The sequence below is a fragment of the Homo sapiens genome, chromosome 1 (assembly GCF_000001405.40).
Source record: "Homo sapiens chromosome 1, GRCh38.p14 Primary Assembly".
Taxonomy (NCBI): domain Eukaryota; kingdom Metazoa; phylum Chordata; class Mammalia; order Primates; family Hominidae; genus Homo; species Homo sapiens.
The window spans coordinates 99,703,555-99,726,899 of NC_000001.11; the positions used below are offsets into that span (position 1 = coordinate 99,703,555).

At 38.7% G+C, this 23,345-nt stretch overlaps 1 protein-coding gene across 8 annotated transcripts in view; it reads right to left on the bottom strand.

Annotated features, from left to right (window-relative positions):
- Positions 1 to 415: 415 nt before the first annotated feature.
- FRRS1 (ferric chelate reductase 1) overlaps positions 416 to 23,345 on the bottom strand; it is a 62,666-nt gene continuing 39,736 nt past the window's right edge. For 4 of the 8 annotated variants that reach the window (XM_017001271.2, NM_001361041.2, XM_047420239.1 and 1 more), the window contains 8 exons: positions 15,980 to 16,093; positions 13,856 to 13,971; positions 12,032 to 12,118; positions 8,864 to 8,961; positions 8,551 to 8,609; positions 7,252 to 7,395; positions 5,644 to 5,705; positions 416 to 5,566 (listed from right to left, as the gene is read on the bottom strand). In XM_017001271.2, the coding sequence (XP_016856760.1) occupies positions 5,474 to 5,566; positions 5,644 to 5,705; positions 7,252 to 7,395; positions 8,551 to 8,609; positions 8,864 to 8,961; positions 12,032 to 12,118; positions 13,856 to 13,971; positions 15,980 to 16,093 (773 nt within the window). In that variant the 3' untranslated portion in view covers positions 416 to 5,473. The other 4 variants (NM_001013660.4, XR_946655.2, XM_011541452.2 and 1 more) reach the window with 4 other exon arrangements.

A 23,345-nucleotide genomic window follows, 5' to 3' on the forward strand; every position in this document is an offset into this window, starting at 1 on the left:
CGAGGCCAGCCTGGCCAACATGGTGAAAGCCCGTCTTCACTAAAAATACAAAATTTAGCCAGGAGTGGTGGCACATGCCTGTAATCCCAGCTACTCAGGAGGAAGAGGCAGGAGGATCACTCGAACCCGGGAGGCAGAAGTTGCAGTGAGCTGAGCCCACAGTAAGTTTGTCAAACGGGTCAAAGTTGTCTGCAGCTCCACTTAGCCTAGAATCCAGTCATGCCACTGCACTCCAGCCTGGGCGACAGAGCGAGACTCCATCTCAAAAAAGGAAAAAAAAAAAAAAAAAAAAACGCTAACTTCCCATTTCCTTTCTCCCACCAGCTCCTGGTACTCGCCATTGTACTTTCTGTCTCTGTAAATCTGACTAGTTTAGGTACCTCATATAAGTGAAATCATATTAATACAATAGTCGTCCTGCGTCTGCTTTATTTTATTCAGCATAATGTTTTCAAGATGAATATCAAATATTTTTTATAAAAAGTATACATTTTACATGCAAAATTTATTAAGTTTAACACTGCAATCAAATGGCAAAGACATCATCAAAAACATGTACGAAGCAAGCACCTTTTGCTGGCATCACTTCATTGGATCCTCACAGCTGCTCTGTGAGATGGGCTTTACAGATGAAAGAATAGAGCCCAGGGAAGATAAGTGACTTACCCAAGGACATGCAGCTTGTAAACCAACAAGCAAACATGCACATTCAGGTCTTCTAATTTCCAGTCCTTTTTAATTTACAGGATCAGCTGCCTCCCATCCCATTTATAAGGATGGTCAAAACAAAAAGATACCAATGTTGGACAGCAAGTCAGGGAAGGAGCTAGAACTTGATAAACTAGCTTTTGTAAGTGATAACGGGAGGGAAGTGCTGGGAAGGGCGTGGTCCCTTTAAATAACAGGAAAGGAGGGAAAGGAAGTGCTGGGTAGAGGAGGGCGTGGTCCCTGGCGAGGGCTCCACCCCCAAACCCGTGCCCACGGGTCTAAGTGAGGACAGGCACCCCTGCCTTCAGCGCCCAAATGTTGCATTTCCTAAGACCACCCTGGCTCACCACGCCCCCATCCTGTGCCTATAAAAACCTCCAAGATTCTAGCAGGCAGACACACAAGCAGCTGGACGTGGAGAGGAACACATCGCAGAAGACACAAGCAGCTGGACAGCGAGAGGATGTGGATGGGAGCACGCCAGAGGAAGAGCACACGACAGATCCCAGCATGCCGACAGGCCACGACTGGCGGAAGGAGGAACAGTTGGCGGAGTTTGGCCGGGGCAATCAGAGGAGAGCCCAGGCAGTCTAGCGGCCCAACTCCAGGGGAAAACCATCTCCCTTCTGGCTCCCCCATCTGCTGAGAGCTACTTCTACTCAGTAAAACCTTGCACTCGTTCTTCAAGCCCAGGTGTGATCCGATTCTCCTGGTACACCAAGGCAAGAACCCAGGGATACAGAAAGCCCTCTGTCCTTGCAATAAGGCAGGGGTCTAATTGAGCTAACACAAGCTAACTATGGACAGCTAAACTAAAAGAGCACGTGGTAACACATGCCCACTGGGGCTTCAGCTGCAAACATTCACCCCTAGACATTGCTGTGGGGTCGGAGCCCCACAGCCTGCCCATCTGTATGCTCCCCTAGATTTGAGCAGTGGGGCACTGAAGAAGCCAGCCACATCCCCATTCCACACCCTGCAAGGGGGACAAGGGAACATTTCCCGTTTCACTGAGAAGGGCATTCCAGGCTGGTAACCATCTGTGACCTGGGTGCAGAGATGAGCTTGGTAGGGGCTGCACAAGGAAGAAAGAAGCAGGATGTGGATAGGAACTGTGAATATCCTAATCTGATTTAAAAAGGACTCTTAGAAGAATCTTTCCTTTCATTCCAACCTATAATGGATTATCTTAAACAAGGACCTTTGTTCTTTTTTTCCCTGCCTCATGAGAATATACAGATAAATAGAATTTCAGCCAAACACTACATGTGCCCTGAGAGCTTCCTAGTTGGCATCTGCTGCATTTGTCTTTTCCCACTGCAGCCTGGACTGGTGCAGGATGTGGAAGGGATGAGGTATTGCTTAACACACATTAGAGACAAAATCCTTGACAAAAATAAAGTACTAAAGTGAATTTGATTCATTTACTTGATAACCCATACTATAGACTACCTTTGCCCTTAAGATTGATTTCTGCAGACCAGAGAATTTTTTTATTGCCTCAGCTATTAATGCCAGCCCAACCACAATTTTCTAGAATTTCTTTCATTTCTTTCTGAAAAGCACACACATCTTTATTTCATATTGCATCACTTCTTTAGAAGAAAACATGATTTTGCTCATTGTTTTTGGCAACATTGCTAAAGATATAAAAGCATTTAATTTAACAATAATTACTATCAAAAGAAATAACTTTTGAAAAACTTCCCAGAGTGTTTATTACAGAAACAAAAAGAAAAACTGAGAGGAGTGAAGACTAGGCATTTGCAATTTGTGGATACCAACCACCCATAAGCAGAAGAAGAATAATTTGGTTCTAATCAAAAGATTTGGTCTATTTGGGGCCAGGTGCAATGGCTCATGCCTATAATCCCAACACTTTGGGAGTCTGAGGCAAGGGGATTGCTTGAGCCCAGGAGTTCGAGATCAGCCTGGGCAACAAAGGGAGATCCCTTCTCTACCAAAAAAAAAAAAAAATTTTTTTTTAATTAGCTGGCTGTGGTGGTGCACGGAGTTGGTGCCTGTAGTTCCAGCTACTCTGGAGGCTGCAGTGGGAGGATCACTAAAGCCCAAGAGGTCAAGGCTGCAGTGGGCTAAGATCGCACCACTGCACTCCAGCCTGGGCAACAGAGTAAGACCCTGTCTCAAAAAAAAAAAAAAAAGATTAAATGCAAAGGCTTATTCGGGGAACTCTGTATGTAAGTTGGCAAAGACCAAAATAGTGCCAACATATGAAGCACTGAAAAAGAAAAAGTTAAAATATCTTAGCCTCAACACTCGAAATATAGCAAGCCCACATATTTGAAGACCAAACACATCAAGACTCATCTTTCCCTTAAAAGAATTTTCAGCTGGGCACAGTGGCTCGTGCCTGTAATCCCAGCACTTTGGGAGGCTGAGGCGGGTGGATTACTTTAGACCAGGAGTTTGGGACCAGCCTGGCCAAAATGTGAAACCCCCGTCTCTACTAAAAATATAAAAATTAGCCGAGACTGGTGGTGCACACCTGTAGTCCCAGCTATTCAGGAGACTGAGACAAGACTCGCTTGAACCCAGGAGGTGGAGGCTGCAGTGAGCCAACATTGCACCACTGCACTCCAGCCTAGACAACAGAGTGAGACTTTGTCACAAAAAAAAAAAAGAGAGAATTTTTCTTTGTCAGATGTAGAATATAACTTAAGAGAAATTTATTAACATTTAAGCTCCTTAGTATAGAAAACTGGAGGAAAATAACTTTAGTACACACTTAATTTGCTATACTAAATTTTTTTAATAAAGACCTTCAAAAGGAAAATTTAGATTATAAGTAGCATGGCACATATAGAATATGAACACAGAAAGTTCATATCTAAGCCCTAAGCCACTTATGATAAACACCTATAAAAGGAACAAAAACTAAACTTCCACATTATTTTACCCAGTAAAAGATGTAGGCTATTAGTAGAAAGTTGGTTAAGTAAATTCAAAAAATAAAAATATAAAAAAGAAATAATGAGAAAATTTTTGAAAAATATTAATAAAATAAAGATGTAGGCTACATAGCTGAGGCTATTATTCACACCATATAGAAATTAGGTTCTCGGGCCAAGCAGAAACTATAACATAATCAGAAAGAATACCTAAAGAAATAAAGTATGACTTCCTAAATTTTTTATTTTAAAAATGCCCAGTTTATTTATTTGCTTTGCCTAAGATAGCTGCATTCATTATTACAGGGTCAGGGGACTTGTAAAAACAAATATCAATTATTATAAATAATCACAGAAAACAAATAAACTGGAAAATAAACAGCGGTTACTAATTTAAGGTTTTAACCCTTACCCCAACCACCCAAAAAAAGTAGCCATTTTTAAAATAAAGATTAAGAGTTGGTGGAATTTAAGGGAAATGCCATCCGGTAATGTTACCTAAATACTAGAAAGGAATCAGCACAAGGAAACAGGAACAAAGCAGTGCAGTACTTCGGTATTACAGCGCCACCCACTGGCTAGAAGTCCTCATAGCACATATGAGATGTAGCCATAAAATAGATGAATTCTTGAAATAAGGAATATAACACTGACTATTCTGATTCAGTAGAACATAAAAAATGTCTAACAAAACAGAACCAGACACATTATATTATTTCTACAAGTAAACAGAATATCTATTAGATATGTTCACAAGGGTTTTATCAATTTTGAAATCCAAGTGTATAATCCCCAAATGCTGTAAGGACTTAAATTTTATAGCCAAAACAATTAACACATAAAATGCTATTTCATCTCTGTAGCTGAATACATAAATAGTATCTTTAAGTAAAAGATGCATACTTGCATTTCATTGCTAAGCAATTCATAATATATTTAAATGCTGGTAAAACCTACAATGGCATCTGCTTCACTTCTACCTTTACTAGAGAAGTAACAAAATACACTGAGCAAAGGATATGTCCAAAAAACTAAACTGAAAAACAGTTTCTAAATAAAGTCCACAGACCATTCAGATAAACTAGTAAAAATAGTTTTTCTTTAAAGTACCACAGCACCTTTGTAGTTCAAAATATATTTACCATAGGCTGGGCGTGGTGGCTCACGCCTGTAATCCCAGCACTTTGGGAAGCTGAGGCAGGCAGATCACAAGGTCAGGAGATCGAGACCATCCTGTGAATGGTGAAACCCTGTCTCTACTAAAAATATAAAAAAAATTAGCCCGGCATGGTGGCGGGCACCTGTAGTCCCAGCTACTCAGGAGGCTGAGGCAGGAGAATGGTGTGAACCCAGGAGGCAGAGCTTGCAGTGAGCCGAGATTGCACCACTGCACTCCAGCCTGGGCGACAGAGCAAGACTCTGTCTCAAAAAAAAAAAAAAAAAAAAAAAAAAAAATATATATATATATATATATATATATATATATATATATCGTAATATATCTCTTTATTATCCTAGTGACATCTGTTGTGATTTTCCAAATCACTATTTATTTTCTTAAATACCAACATTCTTAAAATCTTGGCATGAAATATTTGAGAGTTACTTCTCCTGAAGTACAATCTTTCCTTTAAGACCCAGAATTACATATAGGGCATGACATTAATTTATAGTCTATATGACCCTCTTGAATGTTGTTCTCTAAAGGCTGGACTTCAGAATTCCTCTACAGACATGACCCCAGTCTTCCAAGTGAGAATTCACAAATATGCTCCAGGCAGTCAGGACAGGCTTCAAGTTTCTTTGGTTTGATGATAATTATCACTTGGCCTGCAAAAGCCAAGGTCTTTGCTTGCTCATAGATGGTTGATTGCAGATAAAAATATGATGAGAAAAGTAACATTCCCACAGACATAAATTGCCAACACTGCCTTTTTAAAAGCATGACCCTGAAAGAAAAATTGAGATATGAAAAAAAAAAGTATTACCATTAAGGTTTGTGTCAATGAACAAGAAAAGGACTTACCTCTGTTTCCACTGCAGTAAATGACTGAAGGATCTGAATTCTGTCATCATCCAATATTTCAACTGTCAAGAATAATAACATAAGTTTTTAAGGGCAGCGTTATGCAGGTAAATTAAATTTTTTAAAAAAACCTGATTTGTACTGTTCACCCCAATTTCCAGGGTAGAAATTCTCCCACTCCAAACTACTAATTATTGCAGACTTCCTGAACAATTAAGCCTCTCACAAATGTGGACAATCTGGCAAGAGCACACATTTGTTAAATAACTTAAAATATGCCTTCTTCTAGTCATTAAACACCACCTCAAAGTCATAACGATCTAAGCTCTTTGGTTTTATTTTTGATTGACAAAATATTGTATATATTCATGGTGTATGACATGATGTTTTGATATATGCATACATTATAAAATAGCTAAATCAAACTAATTAACATATGATAACTATCCAGGTTTTAAGTATATATGTATTTTAGACAGTAAGCCATCAGCCAAGCATGGTGGCTCACACCTGCAATCCCAGCACTTTGGAAGGAAGAGGCGGGTAGATCACTTGAGCCCAGGAGTTTGAGATCAGCCTGGGCAACAAAGTGAGACCCTGTCTCTAAAAAAATTTAAAAACTTAGCTGGGTATGATAGCACGTCCCTGTGATCCCAGCTAGATGGGAATCTGAATCAGGTGGATGGCTTAAGCTCTGGAGTTCAAGGCTGCAGTGAGCTATGATCACACCACTGCACTCCAGCCTAAATGACAGAGTGAGACTCTGTCTCAAAACAAACAAACAAACAAACAAAAAAACAGTAAGCCATAATTCAGTGGTCATCAAAAGCCCCACATATATAAGCCTATCAAGGATCAAAAGTAGCAGGACAGATATGTACTACTCAGCTCCTGAAGCCACCCCAGGCTCTCCTAAGTTTACAACATATACACTAGACAACAAAGAATTTTTGTTTTTAGAAGGCCACCTTCACTTATTTTGGTGGATGAAAACCAGGCAGGACACAAAGGACATTTAGCCTAGAATCCAGGCTAAATGATACCCATTCCCTACTAATTTCTCCACTCCTAATGGTGGCTATAGGTATCCTGACCCTGCCTGGCACCAAAACAAACCTTGTCACTAAAGAGCAAAAGCAAAATCAGTCCTTCCTATCTGGCTTGCTCCTAGCTACATAATTATGCACATGACAACCTAAATGATAGCACCCAGTAAATTTGTCAAATAGGTCAAAGTTGTCTGCACCTCCATCCAGTGTTGACTTTGAGTCTCTTCTTCCTCCATCTCAGGGTTTCCTCAGCTCTAGGCATTCAGAGTTCCCAGTCCATACTGGCTCTAAGTCAGACCAGCAAAGTGAAAGTACTTACAAGGAAGACTCCCTGCCTAAAACCTAAAACCTTTCCTTTATATCTTATTCACAACTTCTAATAGTAACAAATGTAAAAAAACAAAGGCAGAAAATCACAATTTCTAGCACTGGCTGAGTGATCACAAGTTTTTAGTGAGCTAACAATGTAGCAGTCAGCCATTACTATCGGGAAGCGCATTCTTTTCCAATGGTTTGTATAGAAGTGCTTCTACATAACATGGCTTTTTTACCAGGTTACCTTTGCGAGAGAGCCGATAAGCATGTACCTCCAGAACAACCTCAGTCCCAACATGCCAGGCTACGAATCCGGTCATTGCATAGGTTTTCCATGAATCAGGAAGATTCAGTCCTGGTAAATCCATTCCCAGGAACATCGCTGCCACTACATACAAAAGAAAAAAGTTACATTCAAATGTAGTCCCACCAAGAGAGACAATTGTGTGTTTGTGTATGTGTATTATCAAGTAAAACATACTAAAAGAGTTTGAGATAAAAGAAGATTAATATCTAAGACCAAATAGTTAATTCAGACTTTTAAAATTATAAGGCTAGATAGGGCAAGATGGGCAACTGATTATGAATTACCAATTGTGGGGGGCGGTTTAGGGCATATTGCGTAATAATGCTGGAGTTTGGCCTTCTAGTGAACCCATCACCCAAGTGGTGAACATAGTACCCAAAGGGTAGTGTTTCAACTCTTTCCCCCATTCCGCCCTCTCCTCTTTTGGAGTCCCCAGGGTCTATTGTTTCTATCTTTATGTCCGTGTGTACTCATTGTTTAGCTCACATTTATAAGTGAGAACATGTGGTATGTGATTTTCTGTTTCTGCATTAATTCATGTAGGATAATCACTTCCAGCAGCATCCATGTTGCTACAAAAGACATGACTTCATTCTTTTTTATGGCTGCGTAATCTACCAATCCTTAAAAGAGATGCACCCACATTTTCCAGATTGTTTTAAGTCTGCAATATATGAAAGGAGAAAAGTATAGAAACCACAGTTGATTGGACTCCCACTCTGACAAAGAATCCCATAGACTATAGCAGTGTTAAGGTAGAAGGTGCCTACTTAGGTGTTTATTATACAAGGTATCAAAATATGCTGCATAAGTATTCCTGACTTTTGAAAACCACCCTGCCCTGGAAGATACAAGCCCCATGGAAAGGACCTGGAGATGGAAAGCTTGAACCCAGCAACCCACCTCAACCCAATTCACAAATGACCCTCAATTTGAGCTACTCAAATGTTTGGCCATCAGCATAGCTTATTCTGCTGGCAAAGGCAAATACTAAAATAAGTCTTTAAATGAGAGTTTTAAAGTTATTGTAAAGACCTTAAACTTAAAACTGAAATAATGACTTAAATCATTACCTCTAGAAATTACTTTCTGGATTTCAACGTTTAAGGCTGATTTCTTCTCAACAACCAATTACTCCAATTACTAATGCATCTAAAAATCATTTAAGCCAAATTACAACTTGTAATATAAGCAGCTAGCAATTATATATGAATAAGTGGCATCACAATCTCTTACCTGCTATTATTCTAGCAGCTGTTCCCATACTCCAATGAGTCCAGTTAAACATTTGCCTTCTACCAAAATAAGAACCAGTCAGTATTCTTAAAAGCAATGGAACTATAATTAATTCCCACTAGAATAAAAAGCATGTAATTTCCTTATTGTCTGGGAATTAGATATCTGAAATGCATTTTAAAGTATTTCAAAGTAACTATAATTTATCACTGAATTTTATAAAATGCAAAATTTTTCCATTTGAAAACAGATTAGTTTGCCAACTAATGATATCTACATTAAGAGAGCATTTATATAGAAAGGCTCTAAGTACCTTGGGTCATGTAAAGGTGGCCTGAAGACTGCCAGAAGAGGCTGAAGAACTGCCAAAGTCATCACTATACAGCCGAGGTATGGGTGGTAACCTGCATGCTAAACAAAGTTACATCATTTTAATGGCCTCAATCTCTCTCATCAATTTAAATCCTCAAGTTAAAAATAATACACACAGATGTATTCTTAGTATTTTTCCATGGCTTTAAAGATTCAATAATGATGATAATAATAATATGCAACATTCACTGAGTATACACGTTGTACCAGGCATACACTTTACACACACTAATTTTTGACAACTACAATGTTTGACAACTGGTTATCAATATCCCAATTTTACAAATGGGGAAACTGAGGCTCAGAGATATCAAGAACTATGTCCAAGGTCACAGAGTATGTACATGGTTGTGGTGGAATCCATGTACAGAATGCTACCTTTCCCCATCAGGATGTTGTAGGTTAGTACAAAAGTAGTTGCAGTTTTTGCAGTTTTTTTTCAAGTATTTTAATCCACAATTACTTTTGCACCAACCTAATAGATGGCCACCAACATCAGAACAGCCATCTGCAGCCCAGCTGGGACTCAGTTATGCATGGGTAAAATTATAACCATGACTTTAGAGATATAAAGGGTTCTATCTAATAAAAAATAAAACAGCAGCAGCAACAAGATTCTTGCATGTGTTTAGAATGTGCTAGGAACTGTCCTAAGTACTTTCAGTTATTTTAACCACAATGCTCACAGAAAGCCTATAAGATAGATACTATACCACCCCCATTTTACAGGTGAGTAAACTGAGGGTCATAGTTAAATAACTTGCTCAAGGTGCCCCAGGTAATAAGTCATGGTGCCAGGATTTGAATCCAAGGAATCCAGCTTTAGAATGGCGCTCTTAACCTTTGTTCTATCGTATTCATAAATTGCAAAGGCTATAAACTAGACAATTACAAAATAAGTGTTACCTTTGTCCAAAATGTCTGAATAAAATAAAGTTCTCATGTCTCAATTCATATCACAAAATCTTCATAACTTCCTTAAAAAGATAGGTTGACTGACCCATAAACTACCTAAAAGGCAGGAGGGAGCTTTCCTAGTAATATCTGTGACCCAGGATTCATCAATCTTATCCCTGTAGCACCAGCCCAAGCTCTGAAATGTGAAATTTTGATATCAAATTCTCATTGGCTATAAAACTGGAAAAGCATAATAAAAGCACAGGCTCTGAACTTAACATATGTCACTTATTCTCAATAAGAGTTATTCATTCATTCACTAAATGTTTACTGAGTACCTGCTATATACTTAAATCTGTTCTGAACATATCAGTGGATATCCCAGCTCTGACTGAGCTGACATAGTAGTGTTGGAAGGGAGATCAAGAAAAAATATGACAAGTAAGTAAATTATATGAAATGGCATAAAGAGTGCTATGGGAAAAAATAGAGCAGGGCTGGGCTCTCTGAGAGGCTTCTATTTGAGCAAAAACTTGAGGAAGGTGAGGGAGTAATGGAAGCGTGTGCCAGGCAGAAAGAAGAATCATGGCAAAGACTATAAAGCAGGAGCATGCCTGGCATGTCTGCATACCAACCAGGAGGCTGGTATGGAAGGAGATGGACTAGAAGGAGAGGACGAGGAGGTCAGTTCAGAGAATAACTGGGAGGCAGTCATGAAGGTCCCTGGAAGAACTTTGACTTTTACTCTTAATAAAATTGAGAGACATTAGAGAAACTAGTTTGAGGTACAAGAATGGCATGGTCTGGTTTACTTTTTTTTTTTTTTTTGAGGTGGAGTCTCATTCTGTCACCCAAGCTGGAGTGCAGTGGTGCGATCTCAGCTCACTGCAACCTCCGCCTCCCAGGTTCAAGTGATTCTCCTTCCTCAGCCTCCTGAGTAGCTGGGATGACAGGCGTGCGCCACCACGCCTGGCTAATTTTAGTGTTTTTGGTAGAGATGGGGTTTCACAATATCAGTCAGGCTGGTCTCGAACTCCTGACCTCGTGATCTGCCTGCCTTGGCCTCCCAAAGTGCTGGGATTACAGGTGTGAGCCACCATGCCCGGCCTGGTTTACATTTAAAAAAAAATAACTGTCTTCTTTGTAGAAAATAGATTGTGCACGGGCAAGGGTTGAAGTGGAGAGACCAGTTAAGTGGCTACTGCAATGGCCAACCAAAAGATGATGGAGGCTCACACTCCTACAGTAGTATCTGATGACAGTGACAAGTGTTGGACTGTGGATATACTTTACAGGTAGAGCCAGTGGAACTTCCCAGTGGATTTGACATGGGATGTGCAAGAGAGCACAGTTAATGATAATTCCAAGGCTTTGATCTAACAATGGAATCCCAGTAGCTACCATGGAGGTGGCAGTGGGTAGAACAGGCCTGGGAGAAAAGATGATCAGGAGTCCCATTTTGGACATGTTAAGTCTAATGTCTTAGACATGCAAGTCAAGGTCCTGCATGCAATGTGAGCTAGATGTGTGAGTTTCAAGCCACGGGAGAAGTCTGGACTGGAGATAAAGATTTGGGAATAAGCATCAGTTTCTTCATTTGTGACATGGGATTATTATTAATACCTACTATATTTGAGATTTAAAAGATTTTTTAATAAAAATATATAGAGATGAGGCCTCACTATGTTGCCTAGGCTGGTTTCGAATTCCTGAGCTCAAGCAATCCTCCCGCCTCAGCCTCCCAAAGTGCTGGGATGACAAGTGTGAACCACCACACCCAGCCTGAGATTTAAATTAGATAACACATATAAAGCACTTAGCACCGCTGGGTACTGAGTAGAAATCCAAATTATGTTAGCTTAGTGGTCATCACAGTACTAGTTAGAGAAAACCACTCACATTGTTCATGTTCCTTAGATATCACACATTGAATTGTCACCACTCTATAGTGAGAAAAAATTCACTAAGGCTATAGCATGTATATAACTCATGATGCACCCTAAAAATACATTTCATTGCTAAGTAATCTGTACTGACATCCTCACTATACCCCAACCTCCAACCATGTGAGAGAGCCATCCAATGATTCAAAAGGGAAAGAAAGAGGGATCAATGCTGAAATATCTTTTTACCCATCATTTGAAAATAAAACAGCAATCTGTTTTGACATAAAATGGATTTATAAAAAAAACCCTATTTAAGATATACTTACCCTACTCCAGCCTCCCCTGTATATAAACGGCATAACAAAAGCAATGCAGGTGAGGACAGTTGTGGTGAACATGAGCATCCGATGCACCTGCAAGGTAAAATGACAAATTAAGAAGACACTTATCCATGTAAAAGAAAGGTGGTGTTGCAACGGGGAAAATGGGGAAAAGACTATGGGGTAAGATTCACTGAAGGCATGCATTCAACTGACATCTAATCACAGTTTGTAGCCAGGTTAAGAAAAAAAAAAAAAACTTAGTATACAATTAAACTTTAAAGAAAACCTTAAGCTGCCATTCTCATCATTCAAAAGTGTTTGCCAAGACTTCACTTGCACAGAGCAGCAGGAATGGATATTTCACACACAGAGCATATTTACTTGCCAAGTCCTTCATTTCCTTCCAAAGATATTTATTAAGCTCCACCATCGAGCACAGTGCTATGACAGGTGCAATGAGATAGTAAGGAAACAAACAAACAAAAAATACTGTCTCCTGAGGAGCTTCAGATATAATTGAGTCAATACAAGAAAAATATGTGAACTATATAATTCATGATACAAATTAGGAGAATAAGTGTGAAAATAGCCACTGTTTATTGATTATGCCAGGATAACTGGTGCAGACCAAAACTATCTTGGGGAAAGTAGGAAGCACCCTGTGTATGTGTGTGTGTATGGATGGATGGCTGGATGGATAGATGGGTGGATGGATGGATGGATGGAGATAGAGACAGAGATAAAACTATGACATGTATGTACACACATCATCAGCATCATAAATTTAAAGGCAGTGGAGGATTTGAGTTGATAAAGAGAATACACACAGTCTTTGAGCTGGGAATATCCACATGAGCAGATGAGAGAGAGAGAGCACAAGAGCAAAGGCACGCAAGTGCAAGCAAGAAAGTAGTCACCTGGCAGCAAACCACAGGCAGAGAAAGAAAGGAGCAAGGTGAGCCAGGTAGCAGTACCGAGAACAAATCAGACTGGCCTTCCCAGGCAATAGTGAGAAATGAGGCTCGATAAGGTAAACCTTATGATCTACAAATTTATATGAATATTAAATGTCAAGGATACCCTCTTACAAAGTCAAAACTGTTCGAACAAGCAGTATTTTTTTCTACAGGCATGTACATTCTAAGTCAACATGAACTCAGTGATTTTCCACTACATATGTAAATATCTATACTCCATGACCCATGAAAGATAAGGTTTGTTTTGCTTTGTTTTGAAGGATACTCATTGGCTCTTGCTATATTCCTTTTAGTAGACTACCTCCCCATCTCAAGGGAAGGAAGAGCATGAAAAATAACACGTTCAGTTTCTCTTTCCACCCATACAGGAGATAGATGATCCCAATTGATGAGTTAATCTAACATTCAATGGCCCACAACCAGAGGAGTGACCCTTGCTTTGAAACACAGTAAGCCCCCACTATTTCTTTCTTCAGCTCCTCTGCATTCCTTGGCCTGACTTTACTCAGTACAGTGCAGTGGGTGAATGCTCTTCCCACATCTCCCTCTACAAACAGAGGTATAAGTAAAGGTCATTTGGGTCCCAAAGTCTATATTACAAAGGGACTCACATGGTCCTGACACATTCTCCAGTCCAGCCTGACTCTTCCTAAAACTGTCTGTATTCTTATCTCTATCAAGCACATTGTGTCCACTCTCAATTGATCAGGAAATCAAAGGGAAAAAGGAGGATCCCAAACCTACAACTGCAACCACAAAACGCATACACATACACACATACTTCATATGTTTTCATGTTGCAATGTTCAAATACTATGAATATTGCATTGAACTTTTTTCCCTCACCTACCTGAAACCAAGCTGCTTCACCAAGCAAGAAAGCTTTTGACCAAACTGGCTTGAAGAACCGGGCAACCAGTACACCTATGCTAACAGTAGTCATCCATGCCACAAACATTAAGGCACCTACAAGTGAGATAAATGCAATAGTAGACAATCACAAACGAATCAAGCCATCGCTTAAATGACCAAGCCAAATGCTCAGAAAATATAAACAGCCAGCAAAATACATTCAGCTGACATAAGTACAACCTAAAAAGATGCTATACATTATAGTTTTACTACCATTACTCTTTCGAACAGCAAACACTTCTACAGCTCCTATTACGTGCCAGGCATTCTAAATGCTTTACATATACTAATTTAGTTGATCTTTACAACAATCCTATGATTATGAATAGCAAAACTATTATTCCAGTTTTGCTGAATGGAGAAACAAAGCCATAGAGAATTAAGTAGCTCTTCTGAGGTTACAAAGTTGGAATACAAACCCTATCTGGTTTCAGCAACTGTGCTCTTAACCACTGTACTAATAACTGCCTGTGTGTAGTTATTTCAAAATCTTCTCACATCTCACTCCAAAAGGCAGTGAAAAACAATTAGGCACATTATTTCTGAATCCAATTACTACCAAACTGGAGCTACAACATGAGTAGAAGTAAATCAACAACAATAAAGTTACTTTCAAGCTTAACTGTGATGGCATTTATCGAAAACTTTACTATAATGGATAACTCTGGAAAATATAAAGGGAATATCCCAAATAAGGAAAGTTTCCCCCAAAACACTAAGAGTTTACAGTAGTTTAGTATACCCTACACTACTCCCATACTTTTAAATCCCATCTTTTTAACTATAAGCCAGGCTAGTTTTCAAATGAAATCAACTTTCATCTGTAGAACCAGAGTATATTAAGAGTCTTGGGTGTTTTGTTTTTTGTTTTTTGGGGGATGGAGTCTCAGTCTGTTGCCCAGGCTGGAGTGCAGTGGTGCGATCTCAGCTCTCTGCAACCTCCACCTTCTGGGTTCAAGAAATTCTCCTGCCTCAGCCTCCCAAGTAGCTGGGACTACAGGCGTACACCACCATGGCTGGCTAATTTCTGCATTTTTAGTAGAGACAGGGTTTCGCCATGTTGGCCAGGCTGGTCTCAAACTCCTGACCTCAAGTGATCCGCCCACCAGACCCTCCCACAGTGCTGGGATTACAGGCATGAGCCACCGCGTACGGCCTAGAGCCTTGTTTTTAGGCTACTGTTCTTGAACTTCATTCTATTCCTCATTTAGGTATTATATATGATGCCTAAGTACAGCACTACATACTTTGTATGCTCTCAAATACTTGTACATTGATCAATGCAACAATAAAATTGTACCTTTGAAACCAAACTATTGTTATAATTAATCAAAATCACAGGCCACTCTTTTATTAGCATTTATTTTAATAAATGGTAAAAATTAAGGTCTCATAAAAGTTAAATTAACCCAGTAACACTTGACCCTGGCTGCAGTTAGAAACAACTAGGATAGTTTTTCAAAATTATAGATGTCTTAAAAGCTCCACTGGTGATTTTAGTGTGTAGCCAAGGTTAAAACCACTGAATTAGCCCTAGTCTCCATTTTTAATGAAAATTAGCAAACATTAAGATAGATGATGCTTACCAACAGCTGTGTCAAAAAAAAAAAAGATGATGCTGCCTGCAAGTGTTAGTGTTTAAACATAAAAGATTTATAGGCTAGGCACGGTGACTCATGCCTGTAATCCCAGCACTTTGGAGGCCTAGGCGGGCAGATCACGAGGTCAGGAAATCGAGACCATCCTGGCCAACATGGTGAAACCCTGTCTCTACTAAAAGTACACAAATTAGCTGGGTGCAGTGGCAGGCTCCTGTAATCCCAGCTACTCGGGAGTCTGAGGCAGGAGAATGGTGTGAACCCGGGAGGTGGAGCTTGCAGTGAGCTGAGATCGTGCCACTGCACTCCAGCCTGGTGACAGAGCGAGACTCCATCTCAAAAAAAAAAAAAAAAAAAATGCTTTATAAAAATTAGCTACATTATACCCACAGCCATTCCTAATCCAGCCAGCACTGAGTCAGCAGGTAAGTTGATTCCACAAAGTAGTTACACATGTAACCTACCATGAACCTTCAGAAGGAGTACAGAATGGGATCCTCCTATGTTCTTTGGAGAGTCTGTCACATCATATTTTTCATAGGTAATCAAAGGTTGCTGAGAGTGCTTGTAAATTCGACCTGCAAATTAAAAACAAAATTAAACATGACAAAGAATAATTACTTCCTCAAATAAAAAAGGAATTGAGATACGGGCAGGGCATGGCAACAAAATTTCTTAAGGTAATAAAAAATAATTAAATATCAACAGAGATGTCATTCATATGCAAAAGCAACATAAAGATATATGCAAGGGCACAGACTTCCTGAAAAAAGTTAAAGAATGTAGCCAACCAAGAGATGAATTAAAATGACAACTAGGAATGGAGAATGTATAGTAAAAGAACTGGTGGTATAAAGAGACAAGTTAAATAATAAATTAAAATAAGTGCTGTTAATATGGTCACAAATCATTGAAAATGTTAAAAAAAATATTGAAAGAGAATACATATTTTTTAAAAATCTACAAGCCATTGACCACCACCTGCATATAAAATCCTAGAATAAACTAACTGAAATTGGGCTGGGGGAAAGAGGATGGTTGGAAGACAAAGAAAAGCATTTTATGATACATTATTTCACACATGGTCAATTTGAACTGACAAACCAAAATTCCAAATAGTAGTGACATAAGCAAATTAAGGATAAATTATTTCATTATTACCATTTATTGTGTACAAAATTAAATCAGTGAATGTATAGAATTATTCCAAATGTGTGTGGATCTGTGTGTGTTCTTTCTAGGAATCTATCTTACCAAAGATATATGTACAGGAATGTTTATAGCAATGTTTTCTATGCTGGCAAAAAATAAAAAAGCAAACAAACTAAATATCCATCATTAGAGGAATGAGTAAATAAATTCTGGAACATACATATTTTTAGAATACTGTGCTGCATCAAAAATGAGACATTTAATATAACAAATATATATATATGAACCTTTGTCTAAAACAAATGATAAATATTAGACCTCAAACTACATCTCAATAATTTCCAAAAGGAAATAAAAGGATACAGGTTATATTATCTGCCCAAAATGCAACAAAACTAAAAATTAACATTGAAAAGCTAGGGGGAAAATTGTCCACCTAGATATTTATAAAACTACTCTTTTTAATAACCTTTGGATTAAATAAGAAATTAAAACTAAAATCACATGTCTTCATCAAGATGTATAACAATAAAGATACTTCATAACAAAACATGTGTGATGCAATCAAGGTACTATTCAAAAAAAGTTTTTATCATCTTAAAAGCATTTCCTAACACACACACACACACACACACACACACACACACACACACACACACACAGAAATCATTTCATTCAAGGTGCATTTAAAGTAACAAAATATAATCTGGGAAACCAGAAAAAAAAGATCGATTAAAAATAAAGGTAGAACTTAAGCTAGTAACCCTAAAAATCAGAAAAGTCAGTCCTCTAAAAGGATAATTAAAATCCATTGAGTTTTTGGCAACTCTGATCACACAATGAAAGGAAACATCAAAATGTTAGAAATTTAAAGGATGGCTGGGTGTGGTGGCTCACGCCTGTAATTCCAGCACTTTGGGAGGCTGAGGTGGGTGGATCACGAGGTCAAGAGTTCGAGACCAGCCTGGCCAAGATGGTGAAACCCTGTCTCTGCTAAAACTACAAAAATTAGCCGGGTGCGCTGGTGGGCACCTGTAATCCCAGCTACTCAGGAGGCTGAGGCAGGAGACTCACTTGAACACTTGAACCCAGGAGGCAGAGGTTGCAGTGAGCAGAGATCCCACCACTGCACTCTAGACTGCGAGATAGAGCAAGACTCCGTCTCAATAAAAAAAAAAAAAAAAGGAAATTTAAAGGGTGACATAGCTGCTAATATAGAAGACCATTTTATATAAAAACACTGTATACAACTTTAAATCAGCCCCCAAAAATCTCAAAATCTAAACAAAATAGGTGAATTTGGGGGGAGAAATACAGAATTACAAAAATTGACCAAAGTAGTAGTAACCATGGAGAGTAATAACAATAGAAAAATTCTTTTTTTTTTTTTTTCTTGAGATGGAGTCTCACTCTGTCGCCCAGGCTGGAGTGCAGTGGCACGATCTTGGCTCACTGCAACCTCTGCCGCTCAGGTTCAAGCCATTCTCCTGCCTCAGACTCCCGAGTAGCTGGGATTACAGGAGCCTGCCACTGCACCCGGCTAATTTTTGTATTTTTAGTAGAGACGGGGTTTCGCCATCTTGGCCAGGCTGGTCTTGAACTCCTGACCTCATGATCCACCTGCCTCAGCCTCCCAAAGTGCTGGGATAATAGGAGTGAGCAACCACGCCCGGTCGAAAAATTCTTTTTAATTAGTCAAATATTTCCATCCAACATCCAGACCGTTATATGGGTGAGTTCTACCATACCATTAAAATTTTTCCTTAATTTGTTTATTTATTTTATTTTATTATTATTATTATTTTTGAGACAGGGTCTCACTCTGTTGTCCAGGCTGGAGTGCAGTGGTGTAATCATAACTCATTGCAGCCTTGACTTCCCAGGCTCCAGAGATCCTCCCACCTCAGCCTCCCAAGTAGCTGGGACCACAGACACACACCACCATGCCCAGCTAATTTTTGTATTTTTTGTGGAGATGGGTTTCATCATGTTGCCCAGGCTGGTCTCAAACTCCTGGGCTCAAATGATCTGCCCGTCTCGGTCTCTCAAAGTGCTTGGATTACAGCATAAGCCACTGTGCCTCGCCTGTTAAAAATTCTTTTTTATTTAAACTCTTCTAGAGCTTACTCTATGAGTTTAGTATAACCCTGAAATCAAAACTACGCATGTGTACATTCACACAAGCACCCCACACATTCGCACACATTCACAACGTAAACCAAAATCACTTATGAATATAGATGTAAAAAGCTTAAAGAAAATATTAGTAAATCAAATCAGTTATATATTAAGAGAATAATAAAACATGACCAAGTAAGGTTTATTCCAGGAATGTGAGGATCATTCACTGTCCAGAAATCTATTAAAGTAATGATAAAATATCATCTCAATCACTGCCCAAAAGACATTTGATGAAATTCAGCACACATTCATATGAATTCTTATTAAAGTTAGAAACAAAAGAATATTTCCTCAACACCATAAAGGATATCCACAAGAAAAATACAACAAACAAGACATTTAACACTGAATATCAGACGCATTTTCATCAAAATAAAAAATAACCACAAAAATTCTTGCCACCTCATTTACCATTCTACATTATTCAGCAAGAACTAAACAATGCAATGAGACAAGAAAGAAAATGAGGGCTATTAACCTGCCATTATTTGCACAGGATATGACATTTATCTAGAAAAATCCAAGATAATCAACTGGAAATTAGGAGGCTTAAAATTTAAATAAATATTCAATAATGAATAACTTTCCTATATGACAATATATTTAGAAAACGTATGAAAAACAATTCCATTCATAATAATTTGCTTTAGACAACTATAAAATACATAGGAACAAAGTAACCAAATATATATGCCCTATATGAAGATATGTAGAAAACCATAAAATTTCATTGAAAGACACATATGCAGGATTGGAATAAATGGAATATCCCAATGTGTTCCTGCATAGACAGACTCACTATTGCACAGTTATTATTCTCTAACTTGCTCTAAAATTGCATTACAATTTCAATCACAACCCCAACAGGATTTTTAATAGAATTTGACAAATCAGCTTGAGCCGGGGAGTTGGAGAACAGCCTGGGCAACATGACGAGACCCCATTTCTACAAAAAATACAAAAAATTAGCTGAGAATGGTGGCACATGGCTGTAGTCCCAGCTACTAGGGAGGCAGAGGTGGGAGGATGGCTTGAGCCCAGGAGGTCGAGCTTCAGTGAGCAGTGATTGCACCACTGCACTCCAGCCTGGGCAACAGAGTGAGACCCTATCTCAAAAAAAAGAAGAATTTGACAAATTATGTCTAAAGTTTATCTAGAAGAACAGATACATATGAAGAAGCAAAAATTCTTGAAAAAGAAGGCCAGAAGGGGAATCATGTTCTATCAAAACTCACAAACCTATTATAAAGCAATAGCAATTCTAACTAATGCAGGAATAGACAAATATATCAATAGAGGAACAGATACACTAGAAATAATTCAATTTATTGATAGATTTTTAGTATATGATAAAGAGGCTTTTAAAGCAGTGAGAAAACATGGACTATTCAAAAAAATGGTGTTAGGACACCTGGTTACTCATCCAGTGAATACTATTTTACCATGGCTTCTTATAAAGCAGAAAATGAGAAAGAAGAGTTTTATGTAATGAATGCCTAGAGAAGAGAGTGTCAAGAAGAAAAAGACAGTAACTGTCAGGAGCTACAAAAGTGTCAAAAAGAAAATGATCAAGAAAACTATCAAACATGACAAGAAAGGCACTGGGAAAGCAAAAATCTTGCATTCATTGAGTGGTAGTTATGAAAAAGAGACTCCAAGCCCAACAAGCCTGAGAGACAAGTTGGAAGAAAATGTGTTTAAACTCTGAATCACTATAGAGCCATGAACTAAGTATGAACTTAACCTTCATGAAAGCAGAAGTCCATTATGATTTCAGAGTTCCATTGTGTGGCTCCATTATAATTTTGCAGTCTTGCTCAAAGGGAGTTCATGCTTAGTGCAAGAACCAGCAGTAATAGGTTACCTACAGTATTCCTAAATTCTTTAAATAACAGGTCATGTGACAGCTGTGTCTCTACTTCATTAATTATTAAAATTGGTAGATTTCCTCATTGTGAATTACTTAATTACCCAAGTGATTTCTATCTTTCAGTTTAAACACTCAGTATTTCACATGACTGCTTATCCCAAGACAGGACAATGTCAGCAACATGAAGAAAATAGCAGTTAGAAAAAGGTTTTAAATGGATAGATTGTTAGGAGACTTTATTGAAATTGGATACATTTTACATTTATACGGGTTACAGAGATTATATGATAGCTTTGAAAATTGGCTTAAACCTTACCAAGTCTTACTGCTTTTAAGCAGATTTCAATTTATAAATGGTCCACATACATAAAGCTAAGTAATAGAAGAGGCAATGATTTATGTGATAACTGTCCTTTGTTCCCCAGTACAAAAAGATTGGAAAATTCATTCCCAGGAATAGCAATCTCCAGGTTTGTTTATTGGAGTGTTTTGTTTTGTGTGCTTTGCACTGTACCAGTTAAAAAAAAAAAAAATTAGCTTGTGCTGCAAATATATGTATATTTTTGTTAATAAACAGATTCATGTTTATTGGATTATATTGTATTAATATCTATTACACCTAATACATATTGTATTAATATCTATTATATCTAATACATATTAAGATATTAATATGTATTAATATCTTATGTACTCCAGCAGTCCCCAACCTTTTTGGCACCAGGGACCAGATCCATGGAACACAATTTTTCCATGGAAGAAGGGCAGCGATGGTTTTGGGATGAAACTGCTCCACCTTAGATCAAAATGCATTAGATTCTCATAAGGAGCACACAACCTAGATCCTTCACATGCGCAGTTGACAATGGGGTTCGTGCTCCTATGAGAATCTAATGCCACCGCTGATCTGACAGGACAGTAATGCTCACTCACCCACTGCTCACCTCCTGCTGTGCGGCCCAGTTCCTAACAGGTCACAGACCAGAACCAGTCCATGGCCCGTCGGTTGGGGATCCCTGATGTACACTATAAAATACATTAAAATATTTAAAATTTTAATGACATAAAAGTAAATCTAAACAAAGTTCTAGTATTGTTCCCTGTATCCCCTCGACTGCCTTGCAATGTGCATAGCTTACTTGGGAAAACCCCATCCTAGAGCAGTAAGTTATCAAACTACAGCACACATAAAACCACCTGGGATGCCTATAAATGCAGATTCCATGCACCAACAAAAGAGACTCAGTGGGTCTGAGATGGGGTTCAGGAATCTGCATTGCTAGCAGTCACTCCAGGTGGTTCTGAAGCACATTAAGCGCGACACTTGGAGAAACACCACAGAGGAGCCAAGACAGAGATTTTCCCTCCCATGCCATCAGCACAGCAACATCAGCCGGCAAGGGAGGGGGAACAATGCTCTATTTTCACATGGATCATCCATCAACTAGGTGTTTCTGAGGGAGTGTTAGAACTATCACTTAAAAGAAAACATGTTCTGATTTCTACATTGCTAACCTATGAAGAAACATTTCACCTGCTGTATACCCACACATTTAAAATTTATTATACAACAGAATTCCTCCATTTAAATGAAATAGTTTTCCTCTAAAGTATAATTTTAAGTATAAAACTTTAAAAAGTATAAACCATTAAATCCCCTAGCAATTTAAGAAATCCATTTGAATCAATAATCATTTATGAAGTATCTATAACATGTTGGGCACTGATATAGTTTGGGTCTGTGCTCCCACCCAAATCTCACTTTGAATTGTAATCTCCATGTGTTGGAGGAAGGGCCTGGTGGGAGGTGATTGAATCATGGGGGAACACTTCCCCCTTGCTGTTCTCATGATAGTGAATGAGTTCTAAGGAGATCTCGTTGTTTAAAAACGTGTGGCACTTCCACCTTCACTCTCTCTCTCTCCTGTCACCATGTAAGATGTGGCTACTTCCCCTTTGCCTTCTGCCATGATTGTAAGTTTCCTGAGGCCTCCCGAGCCATGCTTCCTGTATAGGCTGTGGAACTGTGAATCAATTAAATCTATTTTCTTCATAAATTACCCAGTCTCGGGTAGTTCTTTATAGCAGTGTGAGAACAGACTAATACAGACACCAAAAGAAGCAGTCTGATATTATAGAAAGGATACAACTTTTGTAATTGGAAGCAACCTGGGTTTAATTCCTGGCTCTGCTACTTGTTTGATTTTGAACAAGTTGCTTGACCCTACTAGGTCCCAGTTTCCTTATCTCTAAAAAAAGCAACAAAATACCTACATGCAAAGCCTCTGTGAGAAATAAATGAGATACATGTAATATGCAACAAGTGATAGCTGCAATCATAACAACAACACAATGATCTGCACTTTAGTAGTAGCTGTTTAAAAACACAAATACTTGACCTTTTCCTCATTAAAAATTAATTCCCTACATTTCCCATGTTCCTTTTCTTTTTGAGACAGGGTCTCCCTTAGTTGCCCAGGCTGGAATGCAGTGGTGCAATCATAGCTCACTGCAGCCTCAACCTCCTGGGCTCGGGCAATCCTTTCACCTCAGCCTCCTGAGTAGCTAGGACCACAGGTGCACACTACCACACCCAGCTAATTTCTATTTTTTTGTTGTTGTTTTTT